The sequence below is a fragment of the Homo sapiens genome, chromosome 17 (assembly GCF_000001405.40).
Source record: "Homo sapiens chromosome 17, GRCh38.p14 Primary Assembly".
Classification (NCBI taxonomy): domain Eukaryota; kingdom Metazoa; phylum Chordata; class Mammalia; order Primates; family Hominidae; genus Homo; species Homo sapiens.
Window position 1 is genome coordinate 46,962,344 of NC_000017.11, and position 19,008 is coordinate 46,981,351.

The following is a 19,008-nucleotide window of genomic DNA, read 5'->3' on the forward strand; positions in this document are numbered from 1 at the left end:
TATTGATCAGTGTAGTAGTTGATTTTCAAAGATACCCCCAATGAACCATGCCTCCCAGTGTTCATGCCCTTGTTTAGTCTCCTCACACATCAAATCTGGACTGGCCCTGTGACTCATTTTAATAAACAGGATGTGGCAGAAGAGAAAGTATGCTGATTCTGGGCCAATTATTGAGGTCTGGAAACTGCTTTTGCACTTTTGGGAAGAAAGCTGCCATACATCAAGTATAGCTATGCTGCTGTCTAGACTGTGTGGAGAAGCCACATGGAGGAAATGCCATGAGTTGATAAGGAGAGGAAAGAGGTCCAGCCATCTCAGCAGAGCCCAGCCTTCCAGCTGTCCCTGCCAAGGTGCCAGACACTCTAGCCAGCCAAGTCCTTGAAGGTTGCAGTTCCTGTCAGTATCACGTGCAGCAGGACTGAGCAGTTGAGCCCAGTTAACCTGCAGGATCATGAAAGATAATGAAGTGGCTACCATAAAACCAGAAATTTCTGGGAGTAGTTATGCAGTTATAGATAACCAAAAGAATCTCTTTCAGTGTGTGCTAGACCCTCTGCTAACTCATCATTTTCATCAATGATGTGATTTAATCCTTTCAAACATACTTAGAGGTATGTATAACTAACTCCCATTTTATAAATGAAGAAACTGAGGCTTGGAAAGAATGCCACATGGCTAATAAAGAATAGAAGCAGGGCTTGAATCAAGGAAGTCTTGATAAGGGACTTCACACTCTCAACCACTGCATTATGTGGCCAAGTGGGAGAGCTGAGGGATGAAAAACACAAGACATTTCACAATAAATCATGATGTCTATATGAGCACCCTTTAAGCTTTCTATTCCTTGTCTTTCTTCATCCTGTGCTACTGACCAGGAAAGTGGATTCTATAAAGATGATCAGTTAAGTAGGCAGATGACAGCCAGGTGCAGTGGCTCACGCCTATAATCCCAGCACTTTGGGAGGCCAAGGCGGGTGGATCACTTGAGGTCAAGAGTTTGAGACCAGCCTGAACAACATGGTAAAATCCCATCTCTACTAAAAATAAAAAAATTAGCTGGGTGTGGTGGTGGGTGTCTGTAATCCCAGCTACTTGGGAGGCTGAGTTACAAGAATTGCTTGAACCTGGGAGGTGGAGGTTACAGTGAGCCAAGATCACACCACGCACTCCAGCCTGGGCGACAGAGTGAGGCTCGGTCTCAAAAAAAAAAAAAAAAATAGGCAGATGATATAGTTGGAGATTTTATTATAGTTTGGACACACTTCATAACAAGCACTAATCATCCTCAGTGTTCAGTTGTCACTTGAGAAAATGTAAATGCTACATCTGCTCACTGCCTGTCTTTTCTTCCAGACAAAGAACATATGTTCTTGACAAGGGAGTGTGCCTTGTTCCCCACCCACAGTCACCACTGGAGAAGCTTGAGTTTTGGAGAGGTGGGGACTGGCTGAATTCTCTTTTTTTCTCTTTTTCTCCTTTTTGTTTTTAAAGAGAATAGCATCTTGCTCTGTTGCCCAGGCTGGAGTGCAATAGCACAATAAGAGCTCACTGCAGTCTCGAACTCCTGGTCTCAAGTGATCCTCCTGCCTCAGCCTCCCAAGTAGCTGAGACTACAGGAGCGTGCCATCACACCTGTGTAATTGACTTATTTTTTGTAGAGGGTCTCACTTTGTTGCCCAGGCTGATCTCAAACTCCTGACCTCAAGTGATTCTCCCACCTCAGCCTCCCAAAGTGCCGGGATGACAAGTGTGGCTGAGTTGGTATGGGCTCTCCTTTCCCCATATCCAAGGCAAGCTTCCAGGATTCTTCTGGGACATCAGGTGTTAGGGACCATCTTAGTCCCTACCTCAGTTTCACACATGAGAAAATTGAAGTCCACAGAGGAGGTGTGGCTTCATCAAAAACCCACTGAGAACGAGTGTTAGAATCAGGCTAGGACACATTGGACTCCTCCTCCAGGGCTCTCTGACATCCAAGGCCCTTTGAAATCTCTCTCCAGCTGCAAACAGATTTCTAGACTTCTGATGGAGGTGATCTGAGATGAGCAGCCTCTAAAAGCAGCCTCTGCGAGCCTCTAAGAGCAGCCGGGACCTGCTGGAGAACAGAACATGGCCTAGGAGCGCAACAGCCAAGTGTTCAGCACCACGGACAGCTTCGCTGGCCTATTGCTGGGGAGGCCAGAGGTGGGGAGGCTGGTTGTCCAGCAAGACAGAGTGCCATGGGAGAGAGAAAAAAACATGGGAAAGATCTCAGAGACCATCTAGTCCAGCCTCCTCGATTTGGATGGGAGGAGACCCAGGACAAGAGAGAAGTGACTTGTCCAAGGTCACACAACAAGTCAGTAGAGAGCCAGAGATGGGAGCTGACAGCCTACTTCCTCACACCTCTTCAAGGCCCTCAGATACCTGGTGTCCATGACTTATTAGTGGCACAGCCAGACCTTGATTAAGGGCTCCAAAATTAAAATTACCTGTCCTTGGAAATGACAAGAAAAGAAAAAAGGAGAAATCAAAGAAATGGAAAGAGCACCCGGCCCTGATGGGAAGGTCTGTGATTTGGCCTCTAACTGCAAGGCTTTGACAGGAGCTTCCTACTTTCCAAGGTGATGTGGCCTTTCAGAAACAATTTAGTTACCATGGCAACCTCATTCCAGGTTTCATCTCCATGGCAATTCACTGGAGTTTTTCACCCTCCGGTAAGTACATGTGTGATGGCCCAGACATGTATCCCAGAAACATTAATATAAAATCACATTTTTAGAAGTGGAGTATCTCATTATCCTAGTCTGCAGCCAGAGGAATAACAAGGCATGTTCTCGGGTGGGCAGGGCCCAGGGCATAGTGGAAGGATGTCTCTGGGGGCAGCTCTGCCTTCTCACTGCAATTGCAAACCTGTCCCAGTCTTTACAGCTAGTGCATCTCAACCTCCCATGGGTACAAATGATTTCTCCTTTTCTGCATCCTCCCTGGTGCCCTGCTCATGACAAAGCCTGAGTGTTGCCTGTGCTGACAAGAAGTGCTGGGACAAGGAGAGAGAAAGCTGGTCCTTCTGACTATGACTTCTGTGGCACCCCAGGGCTCCTGCTTCCCTGTCCACTGTGCCCCAGATTGGGGCACCCTGGAGCAGTTCCCAGCTTTTGTGTTGGACCTTGCTTGTCTGATCTGTGGACTGTGGGCTTCCCCCTCAACGTGACCTAATCTGCCATCCAATTTCCAGGAAATCCTCGTGGTTTCTGCTCCACCCAGGGCACCCCTTCTGTTTTCCAGCAATGCTATGCCTTCTCTTTCTTTTTTTTCTGAGACACAGTTCACTTTGTCACCTAGGCTGGAGTGCACTGGTGTGATCACGGCACGCTGCAGCCTCGACCTCCTGGGCTCAATTGATCCTCCCACCTTAGCCTCCTGAGTAAATGGGACTACCGGCACACAGCACCATGCCCAGCTAATTTTTGTATTTTTTTTTTTTTTGTAGAGGCGGGGTCTCATTATGTTGCCCAGGTTGGTCTTGAACTCCTGGTCTCAAGTGATCCTCTTGCCTTGGCCTCCCAAAGTGCTGGGATTACAGACGTGAGCCACTGTGCCTGGCTGCTATGACTTTTCTTTAATATGTCCTGCTGTTTATAATGATGCAGGGCTGGAGTATTTAGCCCACCATCTTGACCTAACCTTCTCTTTCTTTCTCCACTTTTAATGTCTATAAATAACCATCTACTAATCTACTTATAATATGTCTAACGATGGATCATTTCTCTCCTCCTCATCTTCTTCATCATCGTCACCAGTAGCAGTAGTACTATTTCGTGATTGAGGGATCACCACAGAGTAAGAAGTGCTCACAAAAATGTTCCATCAACATCTCAAATAATGAGACAGAAAAATCAAGGCATGGCTTCATTTAAAAAATGTAATTGAGAGTATGAAATGTACTAGCTATGTACCTTCTCAGACCACTTTTTTTGAGACAGGGTCTTGCTGTGTTGCCCAGGGTGCAGTGCAGTGGCACGATCATGGCCCATTGTGTGACCTCCTCACACCTCTTCAAGGCCCTCAGATACCTGGTCCTTGTGACTTATTTAGTGGCACAGCCTTGACCTGCTGGGCTTAAGCAATCCTCCCATCTCAGCCTCCAGGGTAGTTGGAACTACAGGTGCACCCCACCACACCCGATTAATTTTTTGTATTTTTTGCAGAGACAAGGTCTCACCATGTTGCCCAGAATGGACCCGAACTCCTGAGCTCAAGAGATCCTCCTGCATCAGCCTCCCGAAGTGCTGGGATTATAGGTATGAGCCACCACCCTGACCTCCAAATACCTTTTGAACTCAGGCTTGGATTTGAACTCTGGTTCTATCAACTATTAGCTGTGATTTCAGATCAGTGACTTGAGCAATTTGTGCCTTGTTTCATTAAGTGGAGATGACAATAGCACCTGCCTTGCAAGAATTATTTGATGTGGCCGATGAGAAAAATCAGAATTATGAAAAGTGCTTCACACCATTCCTGGCATGTGAAGAGCCCTCTCTAAATGGCCATTATGCTAATTAGCACCTTAAAGGGAAATCATTTTCATGAAATTTTATTTGAATCTGGCTAGAGAAAATGCTCACCTTCTTCCTTGTGTTTTGCTTATTTGATTAAATGTCTTTGATTTCTGTGATGTGTGAAGTCCCTTGAAAGCAGGGCTGTGTGTCCAACAAAGGTTTGTGGCCTTCCCGCAGTGAATTGTGTGGGAAATACAAACACAGGGAAGACAGTTCTGGTCCTCAGGGGAAGTGTAGTGGGGAAGACGGACATGAGAACCTAACCATAACAGGATGCAGAGCGAGGCATGTGCCATGCACTGTGGCCGTGTTACCTCCTGGTTTGGAGTGTGAGCTCAGACACCAGTCTGCCTGGGTTTGGATCCCAGCTCTGCCACTTATTGGCTGCACAACCTCAAACAAGTCTCTTACCCTTGCTGGGCTTCAGTTTCCTCAAATGTAAAGTAAAAATGGTAACAGGAGAGTTAATACATGAACAGAGGCTAACACATAGAAGGGCTCAATCAACATTAGCTGTCATTACCAAGATATACGAAGATAGTATGGAGGGGATATGTGAGAAGTGATTATAATTCTGTTTCATGGGTGAGGTTGTACTTGAGCTTGGTCTTGGAGGGTAAGTAGTTCTCAAAGGGCGAAGAGAAGGAGAGAGGCATTTTGGGGGAAGCAGAGCAGCAGGAACAGAGGCATGGAGTGTGAACTCTGCAGTGTTCTCTGGGTACAGCATGGGGGCTGGATCACAGGTGCATGGAGAGAAATACTGGGAAATGGGCCGGTGCAGAGGGTTTAGGACAGCCCCTAGGAGGTCTTGAAAACTGGCTCAAGCATTCAGACAGTTCTGTAGACAACAGAGACTGACTACAGGCTACTGGAGAGAAGCAACATGGTGCCACCTGTGTTCTGGGCAAATCACCTTGGTGGCAGTGAAGGAAAGATAAAGAGGGGGGTAGGGGGCCCAGAGACCATTTGGGGGCTATAGCACAGCCCAGGCAAAAATGTCAAGAGCTTAAGCAGGGAGGTGGCCAAGAGGGAGAGCCACTGTGAACACAGAATCCGACAGGCTTGGTGAAGGAGTGGGCAGAGTCAGACAGGGTTTCCTGCTAGGTGGCTGGGAAGATGACAGTGGTGATGCTCTTACAGAATCAGGACCCTGGGAAGAGGACCAGCCTGGGATGGGGGCCTTCTTCAGCTTGGGGCATATGGCATGGCCCAGTGCAGACCCTTGTATGTCCCTCACTGCTGTTCCTTCTCTTCAGCTCCAACAAGCCCCATAGAGCACCCTGCACCAGTCAGGCACTCAGTGAATACCTCTGAGTAAGGAACCACAGGGAAGGAGGCGTCCAGAGACCTCCCTGCTCCAACTTCCTCCATTCCAGACCCAGCCTCTTCCTCTCCCTCCGCACTGTGGACACCCCTGAACATCTCCTCCTGTTTCTGAATCTTTAGGGAAAAAATGTCCCAACTCTGTCTCTCAGCACTGCCTCCTTTCTCTGCCCCAACCCACTGAATGTGTGACTCATTCCCACGCTTACATCCTAAAGCCCTGCCTGGGGTGTCCCTCCATGCGGGGACCGCTGGAGCAGAGACCATCACCATCATAACACCCTCCACCAGCCACCCAGCCCCTGCCATGGGAAGAGCACCATGCCAAGCTCATCAATCACCATCAGATCCTCTCGACAAACACAGAGGATGGGCTTTCTGATTCCCATTTTAGTGTGTGACTCAGAGAACTTAGTTGGCTTGCTCTTGCGCACACAGCTGGTTCTGTGTAATCATACAGCTTGAACAGGTCCCCTGCCCTCTGCCTGCCTTCCCCACCAGCACCTCTACAATGGCCATGCAGATCTTCAGGACACAAACAGAAAGCAGGGGCTACCTGAGACTGGAACATCAGGGCATCTCTTGGGATCAGCACCACCTGCAGTCATTGAATGCAGAAGGGCCTTCTAATCCTGGGACCTGTCCAGACCCCCAAGGATTCTGATGTAATTGGTCTGGGGTGCAACCCCAAAAGCAGGACTTTTAAAAGCTCCTCCAGGTAATTCTCATGAGGTTGAAAAATGATTGTTCTAATGGGTCCTACCCTGAAAGCATCCCTGCCGACACCTGCCCCCCACCACAGTCACCGTGGACCTGCTCTGCTGCCTCCGTACTGAGCTTCTCATGCTGGATGCAGCCGGGCCATGGCACAGGTCCTCACAGCCACCGGCCTCCCAGGAGAAGCGGAAGCCGATCTCGCTCTGGCTCCCCTCCACTCTGGCTCCCTTTTCTGACTCCAGATACTTCTCTCCATCCACCTTCCCAGGTTTCCAGAGCCTTCTTATGGTCCAAAGCTCCCCCTCTCCACAAGGGGAACACTCTAGCTGCCCTTCTGGAGAGGACTGAAGACCCCAAGTTGACTCCCTGGTCCTTGTGCCCCCTGGGGGGCCACTGAGAGCCGGGCAGGGAGGCTGGCTGGTGTCAGCAGGAAGGAGGGTGGTGGGCCAGGTGGCAGAGTGGCCAGAAAGGAGGCAGCCTTCAAATGCTGGTTCCGCCACCTCCTCCCACTGGGCTGTTTCCCCTATGTCACAGTGAGAGAGCTGCACAGGACCCCAGCCCCACCCTGCAGAGGGGCCAGAGTTGCTTTCTTATGCCTGGAGACCCTAAACAACCGTGGAACGATCAGGCTTCCCTGCTCCAGGCTGGGACCAGCCTCTGTCCTGATGGCCAGAAGCTCTGATGAGCAGGTATAGACAGCAGACAGTTTCCTTATTCAGCAATAAGGACAGTGTGCTTGGTGGATAAATGCCTTAAACACGGAAGAGTTCACGGGAATCAAAACAATGAAAGAGGCTTGGCAAATAACTTCAAACCAGTGAGATGGGTCCCCCTCTGTGGGGACTCCCAGGCCTGGCCTGAAGATTTGAGTGTATAGGAAGGCATGAGGTCCCCCAACTCTCCCATTGCAAGAGAGGTGCTTGTTACCTTTCGCGATCCCCTTGCCCCCTCTCTGGTGCCCACTTTCTCACTCTGCATCCCTCAACTCCCACCTCTGCCCCAGCTGCCCTGGTGATGTGCGGGGTGGGGGAACAAAAAACACAGGCTGTGCAAGCAGACACCGGGGGTCAAATCTCCTGGCTCTAGCTGACTACAGCTAACCTCTCTGAGCTTCCAGTTTCTCATCTGTAAAATGACGATCATCCCCAGCATAGAGTGGTGCTGGAGGATTAAGTAATGAGATAATATCTGTAAAGCACTGTGCTTAGTGATGGAGATCAGTAAATGTGGTTCCATCCCACGGCTGTCCTGCCTCATCTCCCCCATCATCTCAAAACAGGTACAGCTTCCATCCTAAAGCATTAAGATGCTTCCTGCAAAAAGATCTCAAGAAAGACCAGCCGCGGTGGCTCACGCCTGTAATCCCAGCACTTTGGGAGGCCGAGGTGGGTGGATCACCTGAGGTCAGGAGTTCAAGACCAGCCTGGCCACAATGGTGAAACCCTGTCTCTACTAAAAATGCAAAAATTAGCTGGGAGTGGTGGTGGACACCTGTTATCCCAGCTACTTGTGAGCTGAAGTAGGAGAATTGCTTGAACCTGGGAGGCACAGGTTGCAGCAAGCCGAGATCAAGCCACAGCACTCTAGCCCAGGCGACACAGACTCCATCTCAAAAAAAAAAAAAAAAAAAAAAAAACTCAAGACAGCAGAGGAGAGACGCTGCAACATGAGGACTCCAGCCACAATCAGTCGTCAGCTGAGCTTTTGCATCAAAGCCTGTCTGCGAGGCAGGGGTGTGCACTGGAGCCGCTCCACTCACGTGGACGGGGGCTCAGAGACCCGGAAACAGCATTATGCCCCATAATAGGGGATCAGTGATGTTTGCATAAAAGAGAACCAGGTACAAGCCTGAGAAGGATGGCTTATGTGGATATTAGTTACTGACATGAACCTTTGTCATCATACACTGATAAGTGAAAAACAGTATCACGGTATACGTTCAAAGTGGTGCATATGCTAGAATAACATTTTCTGGAGAAAATCTCAAACCTAATTCTATCGATCCCTCAAAATATGAAAGGCTGCATGCCAAAGGATTAATAGTGATTCCTTCTAGGTTGCAGGAATGTGGCTACTGTTTGCCAACATTTTTCTTTTTTTTGTTGCTATAAATGTTAATTACTTGTATCATCGCTTTAAAACATAGGCCGGTGCGGTGGCTCATGCCTGTAATCCCAGCACTTACAGTGGATCATTTGAGGTCAGGAGTTTGAGACCAGCGTGGCCGACATGGTGAAAACCCATCTCTACTAACATATAAAAATGAGCCAGGCATGGTGGTGGGTGCCTGTAATCTCAGCTACTTGGGAGGCTGAGGGAGGAGAATCACTTGAACTTGGGAGGCAGAGGTTGCAGTGAGCTGAGATCGCACTACTGCACTCCAGCCTGGGCAACAGAGCGAGACTCCTTCTCAAAATTAATTAATTAATTAATTAAAAAGGAAAAATATAATAAGGACACACTCCATGGCTTCTGCAGTCTCTTCTGAGCTGATAGTCAAGGTCCTGGCATGGCTTGGCTCTCCTCCAGTGCTGGGTTAGGGGCTCTGTGACCCAGTGCCCCACCCTAGCCTGGCCTAACTATATCCTTTGCTGACCTTGAACCCCACACAGATCCTGGCAAAGCTGCATGGCTCCATGAATACATGTATGTACATGTAGGAGCTTTTCATGCACTTTCTCACTTAAACTTTCCAACCACCTAGAGAGCTCAGCTAGAGTACCTCACTTTACAGATGAAGAAACAGGCCTTGGAAGGTGAAGCGACTTTCTCTGATGACTGGAAAGTGTGGAGGGAAGTCCTGCACCCCGACCTGCCTGTATCAAAGACTTGTCTCTCACGCCTCAAGCTCTGTGGTTCTGTGCACACCTCACCAGGCCCCCACTCACCCATCTAACATGTGTTTGTTCTGTGTGCATGTTTTTCTTCTGTGTTCTGGGCCACACCTGTTGGGCACCTCTCCCTCCCCGGCAAGGGGGAAGCTTTAGGAAGTAGAGAGAAAGGCAGGGCACAGGGCCTGGCTCTGAGGAAGGGTCACACTTACAGCCAGGCCTGGGGCTGGTGGGGTAGGCAGAGGGCACAGGGCACGTGGGGGAGAGGGGGGACCTTCCCAAGACAGGGAACTGTCTCAACCATAATCACCCTCAGTGTTGCTGCTTCCCCGCTTTATGTTCTATAGAGACACCCGGAGGGGACAGCCTGCTGTGGTGGGCACTGTGCTGGGCCCAGGCTGTGTGCTGACAGAACCCTGGGGCTGGGCTGGGGCAGGAGGCGAGACCCTGGCTTCCTGCTTTGCTTCTCCCGCCACCCGCTTCTTCCTCCTCTCTTCCCTTCTCCTTCCATCCCATCTTCTCCCTGCTGTCCTTTCATATGCTTCCTCTTCCCCCTTCTTTCTCCTCCTCCTCCTCTCCCTTCTTCATTTCTAGTCCAGCTATAGTGGGAAGAAGTCCCTGCAAGGAGCTCTGGCTCTTGGCCAAGAGGGAAGGAGAACCTGGGACAGGAAAGGATTCCCAGCAAAGGGTTGCACACTGGGCACCCCGAGCCCTTGCTGAACCTCAGCTTTGGAGCACAAGGTGGAATTCAGGTTTGTCAGCCTCCCCAGCTCAGCAGGGAACCAGCAGTCTGCACAATGTGACCGTTGGTGACGGATGTTGGCCTCTGCCCATCTGGCTGCATTGCTGTCAACATACAGGTTCCATGTCCCGGGCTTTCTGCCCAGGCACTCCCCTGCAAAGTGAGCCCCAGGAGAAACCCGGGTTTACAGCTGCTCTGTAGCCCCAAACCCTGTACCCCACTGGCTGACGCTGGCTACCCAAAAAGAAATTATTGAGGCACAGAGGATGGCAGCACTCAATCTCCCGTGTGGACGAGCGTCTCTGCAGTCATATTATTAGCATCTCGAGGGCAGAGCCTGAGTTGCCTTCACCTCTGCAACTTCCTTAGCACCCAGCATTAGGAGAGCGACATAAGACACACCTAAAAAATACTGGCACTGACATGCAAACCTAGGTCTTGTACGTCAAGTTTATTAGGAGTGTAAAACTTCTTGTAGTATTCCCTCTAACTTAGCCAGGTGGGAAAGTGTCAAATAAAAAGGACTTCAGTGGGATTTCTGAGTAGCATCCTTGGAATCTGCACTCAAGGGATGCTACTCGGAAATCCCACTGAAGTCCTTTTAATTAAATGTGTGTGCATGTGTGCAACCCACATGTGTACACGTATACCTTGCCCCCAAAACTGGAATGCCGGATGAGGGCCATTTCTGCTGTACCCACTGCCTCTGCCACTCATTAGCTGAGTGTGACCTTGAGCCCATTATCTAACCACACAACCAGATGACAATCTCATATGACAGCTGGCTTGCTCACTCTCACTCTGCTGCTGCTTTTTTCTTTTTCTTTTCTTTTTTCTTTTTTGCCATATAGATGGGGGTCCCACTGTGTTGCCCAGGCTGGTCTCGAACTCGTGGGCTCAAGTGATTCGCCCACCTTAGCCTCCCAAATTACTGGGATTACAGGGATGAGCCACCACACCTAGCCTCTGTTGCTTCGTTGTTGAAAATTGTTGAGATCTAGCGTTCCCCATGGGTTAAACTCTCCTTATCCATGGACTGGAGTGCACTTATCATGGGATCTCAAGTCTAAGTAATAGAACTATGACTGCAAGGGTGAGCAGGCGCTGCCTCAGAACACCCCGCAATGCTGTCATCTCAGAGGCTGGGACACCTGCCCCGTCTGCCGAGCTGGGGTTTGCTGTCCTGGACACCCCGTGTATCTGCTGTGATCTTTATTGACAAGAAAGAATCTTGCTTTCTTGACAAGAATCTGCACTCAAGAGATACTACTCGGAAATCCCACTTAAGTCCTTTTTATTAAATGTGTGTGCATGCGTGCGACACATGTGTACACGTATACCTTTCCCCCAAACTGGAATGCTGGATGGGGGCCATTTCTGCTGTACCCGCCACCTCGCATGCTCCATTCTTTGCCTCTGAAGCCACCCCCAAAGCTCAAGGCTTCTTTCCATCTACTACTGAGTTGGGGTCTGGGGAGGGCGACCCCCAGCAGCCACAGCCGTGCACCCCTCTATGTGAACTTGGCTTAGACAAGTAAGTAAGAAAGTAAGTGGATGTGGTGATGTAAGCCCTCCCTACTTCCCCCGTTCTAGGGGACATCTTGCTGGTGAAGGCACAGCTGACCCCAGAAGTACTATCCCCGACTCAGAGGACAGGATGTGGGGGATTTGACCTAGGCCCTGAGACGCATGGAACCAGCTACCTGGGGAGCAAAGCAAGTGCCAGGGTTTCTGGGGCGCTGGCCAGGGCCAGACGCTAGGTCTGCCATCCGTTGCTCACCCAGTGCCTGGCACAGTGCCTAGCCCACAGGAGATTTACAATAGACACCGGTGGAATGAATGAGCTTGGACAAGATCAGTAAACAGAATCTTAATTTCCTCTCCTATAAACAGGAAATTAGAGGAGCATCTGCTCCTCTTACCAATGTGTTGTGGGGAGCAAAGGAGGTCATCTCCGCCGGGCGCGGTGGCTCACGCCTGTAATCCCAGCACTTTGGGAGGCCGAGGCGGGTGGATCACAAGGTCAGGAGATCGAGAGCATCCTGGCTAACACGGTGAAACCCCGTCTCTACTAAAAATACAAAAAATTAGCTGGGCGTGGTGGCGGGCGCCTGTAGTCCCAGCTACTCGGGAGGCTGAGGCAGGAGGATGGCGTGAACCCGGGAGGCAGAGCTTGCAGTGAGCCCAGATCGCACCACTGCACTCCAGCCTGGGGGACAGAGCAAGACTCTCTCTCAAAAAAAAAAAAAAAAGGTCATCTCAAGTGAAACTGATTTGAATCCCAGCTCTGCCCCTTTCTAGCTGCGCTACCTCAGGCAACCTCTTGGAGCCTCAGTTTCCTCATCTGTACAATGGGAGGAGCTACAAAACCTTCTTCGAGGGAGTGGAAGCTCAGTGTTTGGCATATTAGGCATTCGCTACTATTTTCGTCATGCTTATGAAAGTACTCTGAAAACTGCAAATGCTTTTCAAATATGAATTACTATTTTCTTTTTTTTTTTTTTTTTTTTTTTTTTATGTCCAGGGAATCCATTTCAGAGAACCAAATGTACTTTAGGGAAAGAGTTCATACGATAAACAAAACTAACAATAACCCTCATTGTCCTTATTGAGCGTCTATTAAATGCCAGGCATTGTGCCGGCTTCTTCAAACACATCATGTCGTGAAAGCTATGGGTCCCCTATCGCTCCTATTTTGTAGGTGAGGAAACCGAGGCACAGAGAGGTTGAGCTACTTCTCCAAAGTTACAGAACTAGGAAGCAGGGCAGCCAGGATTTTGAAGACCAGGATCCCAGGCCTTCTCTCTTGTGAACCCAAGGCCCTCTGAGATTTATCGGTGCATCCTGGGAAGAGCTCTCAATGGACAGCAGTTGTGGGTGAGTGGGGCTTTCTAGAACCATCCTCCACTCGGATGGCTCAGGATTCTGCTCTGTCTGGCTCTGCCCTGGAGCACTGTTCCTCATTCACTCTTACCTTATGTAACTCAGTGTTCCCGCCCCCTGCCCCAAGGATTATATAAGGCAGCCCAGTAAACACCCTGCAGGCCTCAGGACTCCTGGGGAGAACTAAGACGGTCTACAAATGTGACCTCTTGCCCTCACCCCTTCTCAGGACCCCACTCTTGCTGGCTGTCTTCCTCCTGAGGCACAAGGCTGCCTGTGCCTGTGTGTGTGCCTGCTTGTGTGAGCATACACTCACACCATGTGCCCACGTGTGCAGACTTGTACACCACAGGGGACCCAAACACACGTTAGTACACACGCGTCTTCACTATTTTTTTAAACAGTGGGAGAATCCTGCAAAGTGTCCCCACTAAGGCTTTCCTTTTCAGCAAATTCAGAACAGTTAACTTTGCTTTGACAAGGAACTATGAAAGAAAGAAAGAAGAAAGATAAAGGAAGGAAGGAAAGAAAATGATAAAAGTTGTTGTTGTTGTTGTTGTTTTGGAGACGGAGTCTAGCACTGTCGCCCAGGCTGGAGTGCAGTAGCGTAATCTCGGCTCACTGCAAGCTCCGCCTCCCGGGTTCACGCCATTCTCCTGCCTCAGCCTCCCAAGTAGCTGCGACTACAGGTGCTCATCACCACGCCCGGCTAATTTTTTGTATTTTTAGTAGAGACCGGGTTTCACTGTGTTAGCCAGGATGGTCTCGATCTCCTGATCTCGTGATCTGCCCGCCTCGGCCTCCCAAAGTGCTGGGATTACAGGCGTGAGCCACCACGCCTGGCGATAAAAGTTTTTAAAAAAGAAATTTGGCTGGGCGCAGTGGCTGACACATGTAATCCCAGCACTTTGGGAGGCCGAGGCGGGTGGATCACCTGAGGTCAGGAGTTCGACACCAGCCTGGCCAACATGGTGAAACCCGGTCTCTACTAAAAATAATAAATAAATAAATAAATAATTAGCCAGGCATGGTGGCGCGCGCCCATAATCCCAGCTATTCCGGAGGCTGAGGCAGGAGAATCGCTTGAACCTGGGAGGCAGGGGTTTCAGCGAGCCAAGATTGCGCCACTGCACTCCAGCCTGGGCGACAGAGTGAGATTCCATCTCAAACAAACAAACAAAAAACCAAAAAAACAAATTTAACTCTTGACTCGTTCTCTTCTCGCCCCAGTCACATTTAGTAGCAGACCTATTTTATTAGAGGAGAGTTCTCGCAGTGTTCGCCCTAACTTGGCCCGGTGGAAAAGCGTGTAAGCCTGTGTTCTTTCTGAAACCATTTTCTGGTCATTTGGGATTTTACGCAAATGCCTGTAGCTGTCTGAGCTGCATTCCCCAAACCACTGAGGGCAGCCCAGACTCCAGATAACTGCACCACCTACATGACGAAGCCACTTATCCAGGTTGCCTGAGTCACTGAAGGCTGCTGTCCCCAGATCAGGCTGGACTTCCTGCAAGTCACACCAAACCATCAACAGAACATTCTCCACATTCGGGGTTTTTCCCCCAGAGACACTTTACAAGGAGTGTCAGTTCCTCCCCTCACTGGCCTGGCCTGAATTCTCCCAGGTCTGAGATTGGGACGACCAGGGTTGGGGGATGGGGCACATCCTGATCATGATAATTCTGACCACACAGGAGCACTTGGGAGCCAGGACGACTCTGGATCCTTCATAGCCAGGGACCATCTGTGCCTTCGAGAAACTCCCCCACCCCACCTGTGCCAAGCCTCTCCCTAATGAAACTAGTGCCAAATACACGGGATCGCATTCCCTTCGCTTCTCTTAGCTAAAAGCAGCTAAGACTTCAGTCACCTTCCTCGTTATTCTTCACTCCCACCCACAGCAAAAGAGAGAAGAAAGGGAGAAATCCAGTCTCTCCCCGACCAAGTCTTCCAAGAACCGCTTGAGCGGGGTTGGCACTAGGACTAAGTGTAGTGGGGGATACATAGGCCAGAAAGCCCAGCCTTCTCTCCTCCAGTGTCCCCAGGTCCCCCTGTCCCCAACTTCCAGAAAGCAGAGCTGTCCTCTCGCTGTCCGCTAGGGAGTAGCCAGTTCTTGCTGCTCCACACTGCTGCAAGGGAAGTTAGCACCTGCAGGAGGCGTGGGTTTCTGGGCAGCTGGGGCATCCTGTAATGGGAGGCTCCAAGTCCCCTGCAGGCAACTGCGTTTGGAGGCCATTTTCTCCATTGTATAATAAACATCCTGGGACTTCCTCACCACAAAGCCGCCAACCCCCACCCCTATGGGATGCAACAAGGGGGTTTCTTCCGTCTACTCATCTGTCCGCTATAAGGGTAGGGACAAAGCAAGCCCTTAGAAGGGGCTTTGGCCTTATAATTAAACTTTTAACTAGATCTAGTTTTCCCCTCTGCCAAATTGAATTTTCCTTGTTCACATTTTCTTCGTTTTGGACACAGCTGACTGATTTTGTTTCATCTCATATTAGACTCATATATCCAGTGATTTAATTAATCTCACCAGCTGTCTGGCTGTCCCACAGGACCTGCCTTCTCCGCTGTTGGCGTTAGAAAACGATTCCCTTTGCCTTTCCTCGCTCTGGCCTCCGCGTGGAGCCCCAGGATCCTTGACCTGACCTGTGGGCTCCCCAGCCAGGCGTCCACGCAGGGGCTAGATGTCTCCCACGGGGCTCAAAGTGTCCGCCAGGAGGGTACATGCCCTCCGCCCCGCAACACACACACACACCTCACAGGCGCGGGTGGGAAGCTGCCTGAAGCCCTACGGCTGCAGTTTTATTACAAGATTTCTTTCCAAACGCAAGATCAGGCCAACAAGCTCAGCGACTCTGACGCTTCACATCTTCACCCACTCGCACCGTGTTCCGAACCCACCCGCACCAACGTACACACAAAACTCCCACGCGAGCGACCGCAGTCCCAAATTGCATCTCCATACCCACTCCCACCCTGCCCCGAACGTCTTAAAAAACAAACAAACAAAAAAAACTGGTAAGAACCCTCACCCCACATTCTCCCACCCCGCAACGCTGCAGCGCACACAGGACAGAGCCGGGCGTCCAAGTCCCTTCCCGCGCCCCCGCCGACAGTCTCGCCGCGTCCCCGCCCGGGCGCCCCAGGCACGTAGCTGCCCGCCCGGAGGCGGCGGCAGAGCGCAGAGAGCGGGGCGAGGGTCCGGGTCTCCGGGGTCCTTCTTGCAGCAGCGCTGGCGAGGGCGGACCCAGATGGCGCTCAGTACAGCCCCAGGATGGCTGCGCCCACGTCCTTGGAGGGCCGGCGCTCCTGCACCAGAAAGTTGATCATGCTCTCGGACTTGATGAGCAGGTTGCAGCCCAGGAAGAAGACGCCGAAGACCACGGTAAGCGACAGCACGCAGAGCACGGCGATCTGCGCCACCCGCGACACCCACAGGCTGCGCTCGTCGGGCGCCAGCCCCGCGGGGACCCCGTCGCTGGCGGCCAGCGGTGCGCCCCCTGGACAGCAGCCCAGCCACGTGCCCAGCCCGTGGGTGCGGTTTCCCAGGGCGGCCCCGGCGCCGCCGCCCACGCCGTCCACCTCCTCCAAGCCGCTGTGGTTCAGGAAGGTCGCGTTCATCGCCGCGCGGCGCCGGGGGTCTCGGCGCGCAGTCCCGGGTGCACTGGGCTGCTCGCCGGGGTCCGCGCTCTCAGGGACGCTCCGGACCCCTCGGACCGGCTCCTGCGGTACGGGGAGGGGACGAAGGCGGGAGGCTGGCTGCCTGCGCGCTCTCGGGCCGCCTACCCCTGGGCACCGGGCGGGAAGCGACCGCCCGGAGGAGCGAGCAACAGGCGGCGCAGGAGCTGGAGCCGGAGAACCTAGTGTGCTTAGCGGTCGCCCGCTGGGTTCCTCGCGCGCCTGGCCGCCCCTCCCCTAGCAACGGCCCGGCCCCGCCCCGCCGGTCCCCGCGGCATCTCCGAGGGGCGGGAATCCCGCCGCGGGCGCAGCCTCCCCGGAGTCCCGGTGCTGGAGGGGGTCGGGAGATCCGGCAGCCTCTGTCCGCGGGCCGGCGAAACTCCACCCCCTCCTGGCACCCGCTGTCCGTTCTTGGCTAGAAAACCTCTCCAAGGTGCCCATTCCAGGATTTGATACCCTTAGCAGTGAAGTTATTCCGGAATCTGCCCTGACTCTCTTCGCTTATTATTTAAGCCCTCGTAAGCCTTGCTAGACATCAGATGAGTCGCCGGGACCCCTGGCGCTGCCCACTCCACTGGCCCCGGGTCTCCTGGGCGGTCCTGCCTCACAGCTTTCCCGGGGTGAAAGCTGTCGCGGCGAGGCGGGCTCTCTGCCTCCTTCCCTACACCCTCCTCTCAACTTGGTCCCATTTAACTTTTTTTTTAAATTAAAAAATAAATTACTGTTTTTTTCTTTCTTTTTTACACAAACATAGTCATTGTAGACTAGTTTAGAAAACATGAATTACCGAAATTACTCTAAAACTTTATAATCTGCCTCCTAGAGAGTGTCGATGTTATCACCTGGGTATAAACTCCTCCCAGACTTTTTCTATTTGTGCCTTTCTCTAGATAACAGATATGGGGATGCACCGTTCCTGCTTACTGCCTCCCAACCTTTCCTCACTTAACAGCGTAACTTTCCCTAGCGATGGTCCTCTACAGCTATGGCTCTGAATTGCCTTGGAGGGTTTATTAAAACCCAGATTGCTTCCACCTCCCGCCCCCAACCTCCCCACCCCAACCAACCCCAAGAGTTTCTGAATCAGATGTGGGATGGGGCCCCAGAATGTGCATTTCTAACAGTTCCCACGTGATGCACAAACTACTGAGCTACAACATCATTTTTAGTGAAGGAATGGCATTTTAAGGTATGGACTACTACAGTTTATTTAACCAAGCTTCCTGCTGGATGTCTGAGTTTTTCTTTCCTTCTTCTTCCTTCTCCCTTTCCTTCTCTCCTTCCTTCCTTCTTCTTTCTTTCTCTTCTTCTTTCTCTTCTTTCTTTCTCTTCTTTCTTCTTTCTTTCTTTCTGTCTTCTTTTTTCTTTCATCAGAAACAATATTACCATAAGGAGCCTTGTAACAAAGTATTTGTGCCAAAACTGATTTTTCTTTAGATTGTATTTTGAAAAATGGACCTGTAGAATCAAAAAGTAGGCCGGGCGCGGTGGCTCACGCCTGTAATCCCAGCACTTTGAGAGGCCGAGGCGGGTGGATCACGAGGTCAGGAGATCGAGACCATCCTGGCTAACACCGTGAAACCCTGTCTCTACTAAAAATACAAAAAAAAAAAAAAAAATTAGCCGGGCGTGGTGGCGGGCGCCTGTAGTCCCAGCTACTCAGGAGGCTGAGGCAGGAGAATGGCGTGAACCCGGGAGGTGAAGCTTGCAGTGAGCCGAGATCACGCCACTGCACTCCAGCCTGGGTGACAGAGCGAGACTCCGTCTCAAAAAAAATAAAATAAAATAAAATAAAAAAAGAAAAAAAGAATCAAAAAGTACTTCCTACTAAATTGCTTTCCAGAAATATACCAGTGTACAATCATGCCCTGTGGGGAAAGGGGGCTCCCCACCCCCAACATTGTTATCATTATTTTAAAAGTCTTTGCCTGAGTAGCGAAGGGGGGTGGGGGCAGGGGTGGTTTCTCACCCGTATGTTAATTTGCATGCTTTGATTGTTGCAGGAGAGTAAAGAAAGCACTTTGTTATTGCAATAATGCAGGCAAAAGATGCTGCCTGGAGACTTGAATTCCAGTGGTGACAGTGAAGTGGGAGACAAGGGGATGGAAAGGGCATGGCAAATTGGAGTGAAGGGATTCGGGATGCCCCAACACACAGGCATCACAGAGCCTCTGCTCCCTGTTATGGTTTGAATATGTCTCCCCAAGTTCATCTGTTGAAAACTTGACCCCCAATGTGGAGGTGTTGGGAGGTGGGGTGAGATGCTGCCATTGTTTGGGTCAGGGGC

At 51.1% G+C, this 19,008-nt stretch overlaps 3 protein-coding genes and 1 non-coding gene across 14 annotated transcripts in view, besides 4 other annotated features; 3 read left to right on the plus strand and 1 right to left on the minus strand.

Moving 5' to 3' along the window:
- GOSR2 (golgi SNAP receptor complex member 2) overlaps positions 1-13,547 on the plus strand; it is a 52,731-nt gene extending 39,184 nt beyond the window's left edge. For 4 of the 11 annotated variants that reach the window (NM_001321133.2, XM_017025386.2, XM_017025378.2 and 1 more), the window contains one exon: positions 4,191-4,657. In NM_001321133.2, the coding sequence (NP_001308062.1) occupies positions 4,191-4,381 (191 nt within the window). In that variant the 3' untranslated portion in view covers positions 4,382-4,657. Of the gene's footprint in view, positions 1-1,353; positions 2,697-4,190; positions 4,658-6,365; positions 9,039-12,855 lie in introns of those variants that run through there. The other 7 variants (NR_148349.2, NR_148350.2, NR_148351.2 and 4 more) reach the window with 6 other exon arrangements.
- LRRC37A2 (leucine rich repeat containing 37 member A2) overlaps positions 1-19,008 on the plus strand; it is a 676,337-nt gene that overhangs the window by 589,552 nt on the left and 67,777 nt on the right. The window lies entirely within an intron of this gene.
- Positions 3,140-3,434: an enhancer, noted in NCBI's record as "tiled region #11668; K562 Activating non-DNase unmatched - State 22:ReprW". NCBI's record gives its function as "activates a minimal TATA promoter and a strong SV40 promoter by Sharpr-MPRA in K562 cells {active_cell/tissue: K562}" and the evidence as "EXISTENCE:reporter gene assay evidence [ECO:0000049][PMID:27701403]".
- MIR5089 (microRNA 5089) lies at positions 10,674-10,757 on the plus strand. Its single transcript, NR_049812.1, has one exon. It is a non-coding gene; the product is annotated as a microRNA 5089 (primary transcript).
- Positions 15,015-15,695: an enhancer, noted in NCBI's record as "NANOG-H3K4me1 hESC enhancer chr17:45054724-45055404 (GRCh37/hg19 assembly coordinates)". NCBI's record gives its function as "activates a minimal SCP1, AML or CMV promoter by ChIP-STARR-seq in primed H9 embryonic stem cells {active_cell/tissue: H9 hESC(primed)}" and the evidence as "EXISTENCE:reporter gene assay evidence [ECO:0000049][PMID:30033119]".
- Positions 15,696-16,375: an enhancer, noted in NCBI's record as "H3K4me1 hESC enhancer chr17:45055405-45056084 (GRCh37/hg19 assembly coordinates)". NCBI's record gives its function as "activates a minimal SCP1, AML or CMV promoter by ChIP-STARR-seq in primed H9 embryonic stem cells {active_cell/tissue: H9 hESC(primed)}" and the evidence as "EXISTENCE:reporter gene assay evidence [ECO:0000049][PMID:30033119]".
- RPRML (reprimo like) lies at positions 15,813-16,910 on the minus strand. The gene has a single exon (NM_203400.5). The coding sequence runs from the start codon at positions 16,662-16,664 to the stop codon at positions 16,302-16,304; it is 363 nt and encodes a 120-aa protein (NP_981945.1). The 5' UTR covers positions 16,665-16,910; the 3' UTR covers positions 15,813-16,301.
- Positions 16,853-17,032: a silencer, noted in NCBI's record as "silent region_8620". NCBI's record gives its function as "represses an Ori minimal core promoter by ATAC-STARR-seq in GM12878 lymphoblastoid cells {active_cell/tissue: GM12878}" and the evidence as "EXISTENCE:reporter gene assay evidence [ECO:0000049][PMID:35858748]".

What these genes read in the sequence shown, in the direction of transcription:
- RPRML (NM_203400.5), bottom strand. Translation starts at nt 16,664, where the DNA reads ATGAACGCGACCTTCCTGAACCACAGCGGCTTGGAGGAGGTGGACGGC.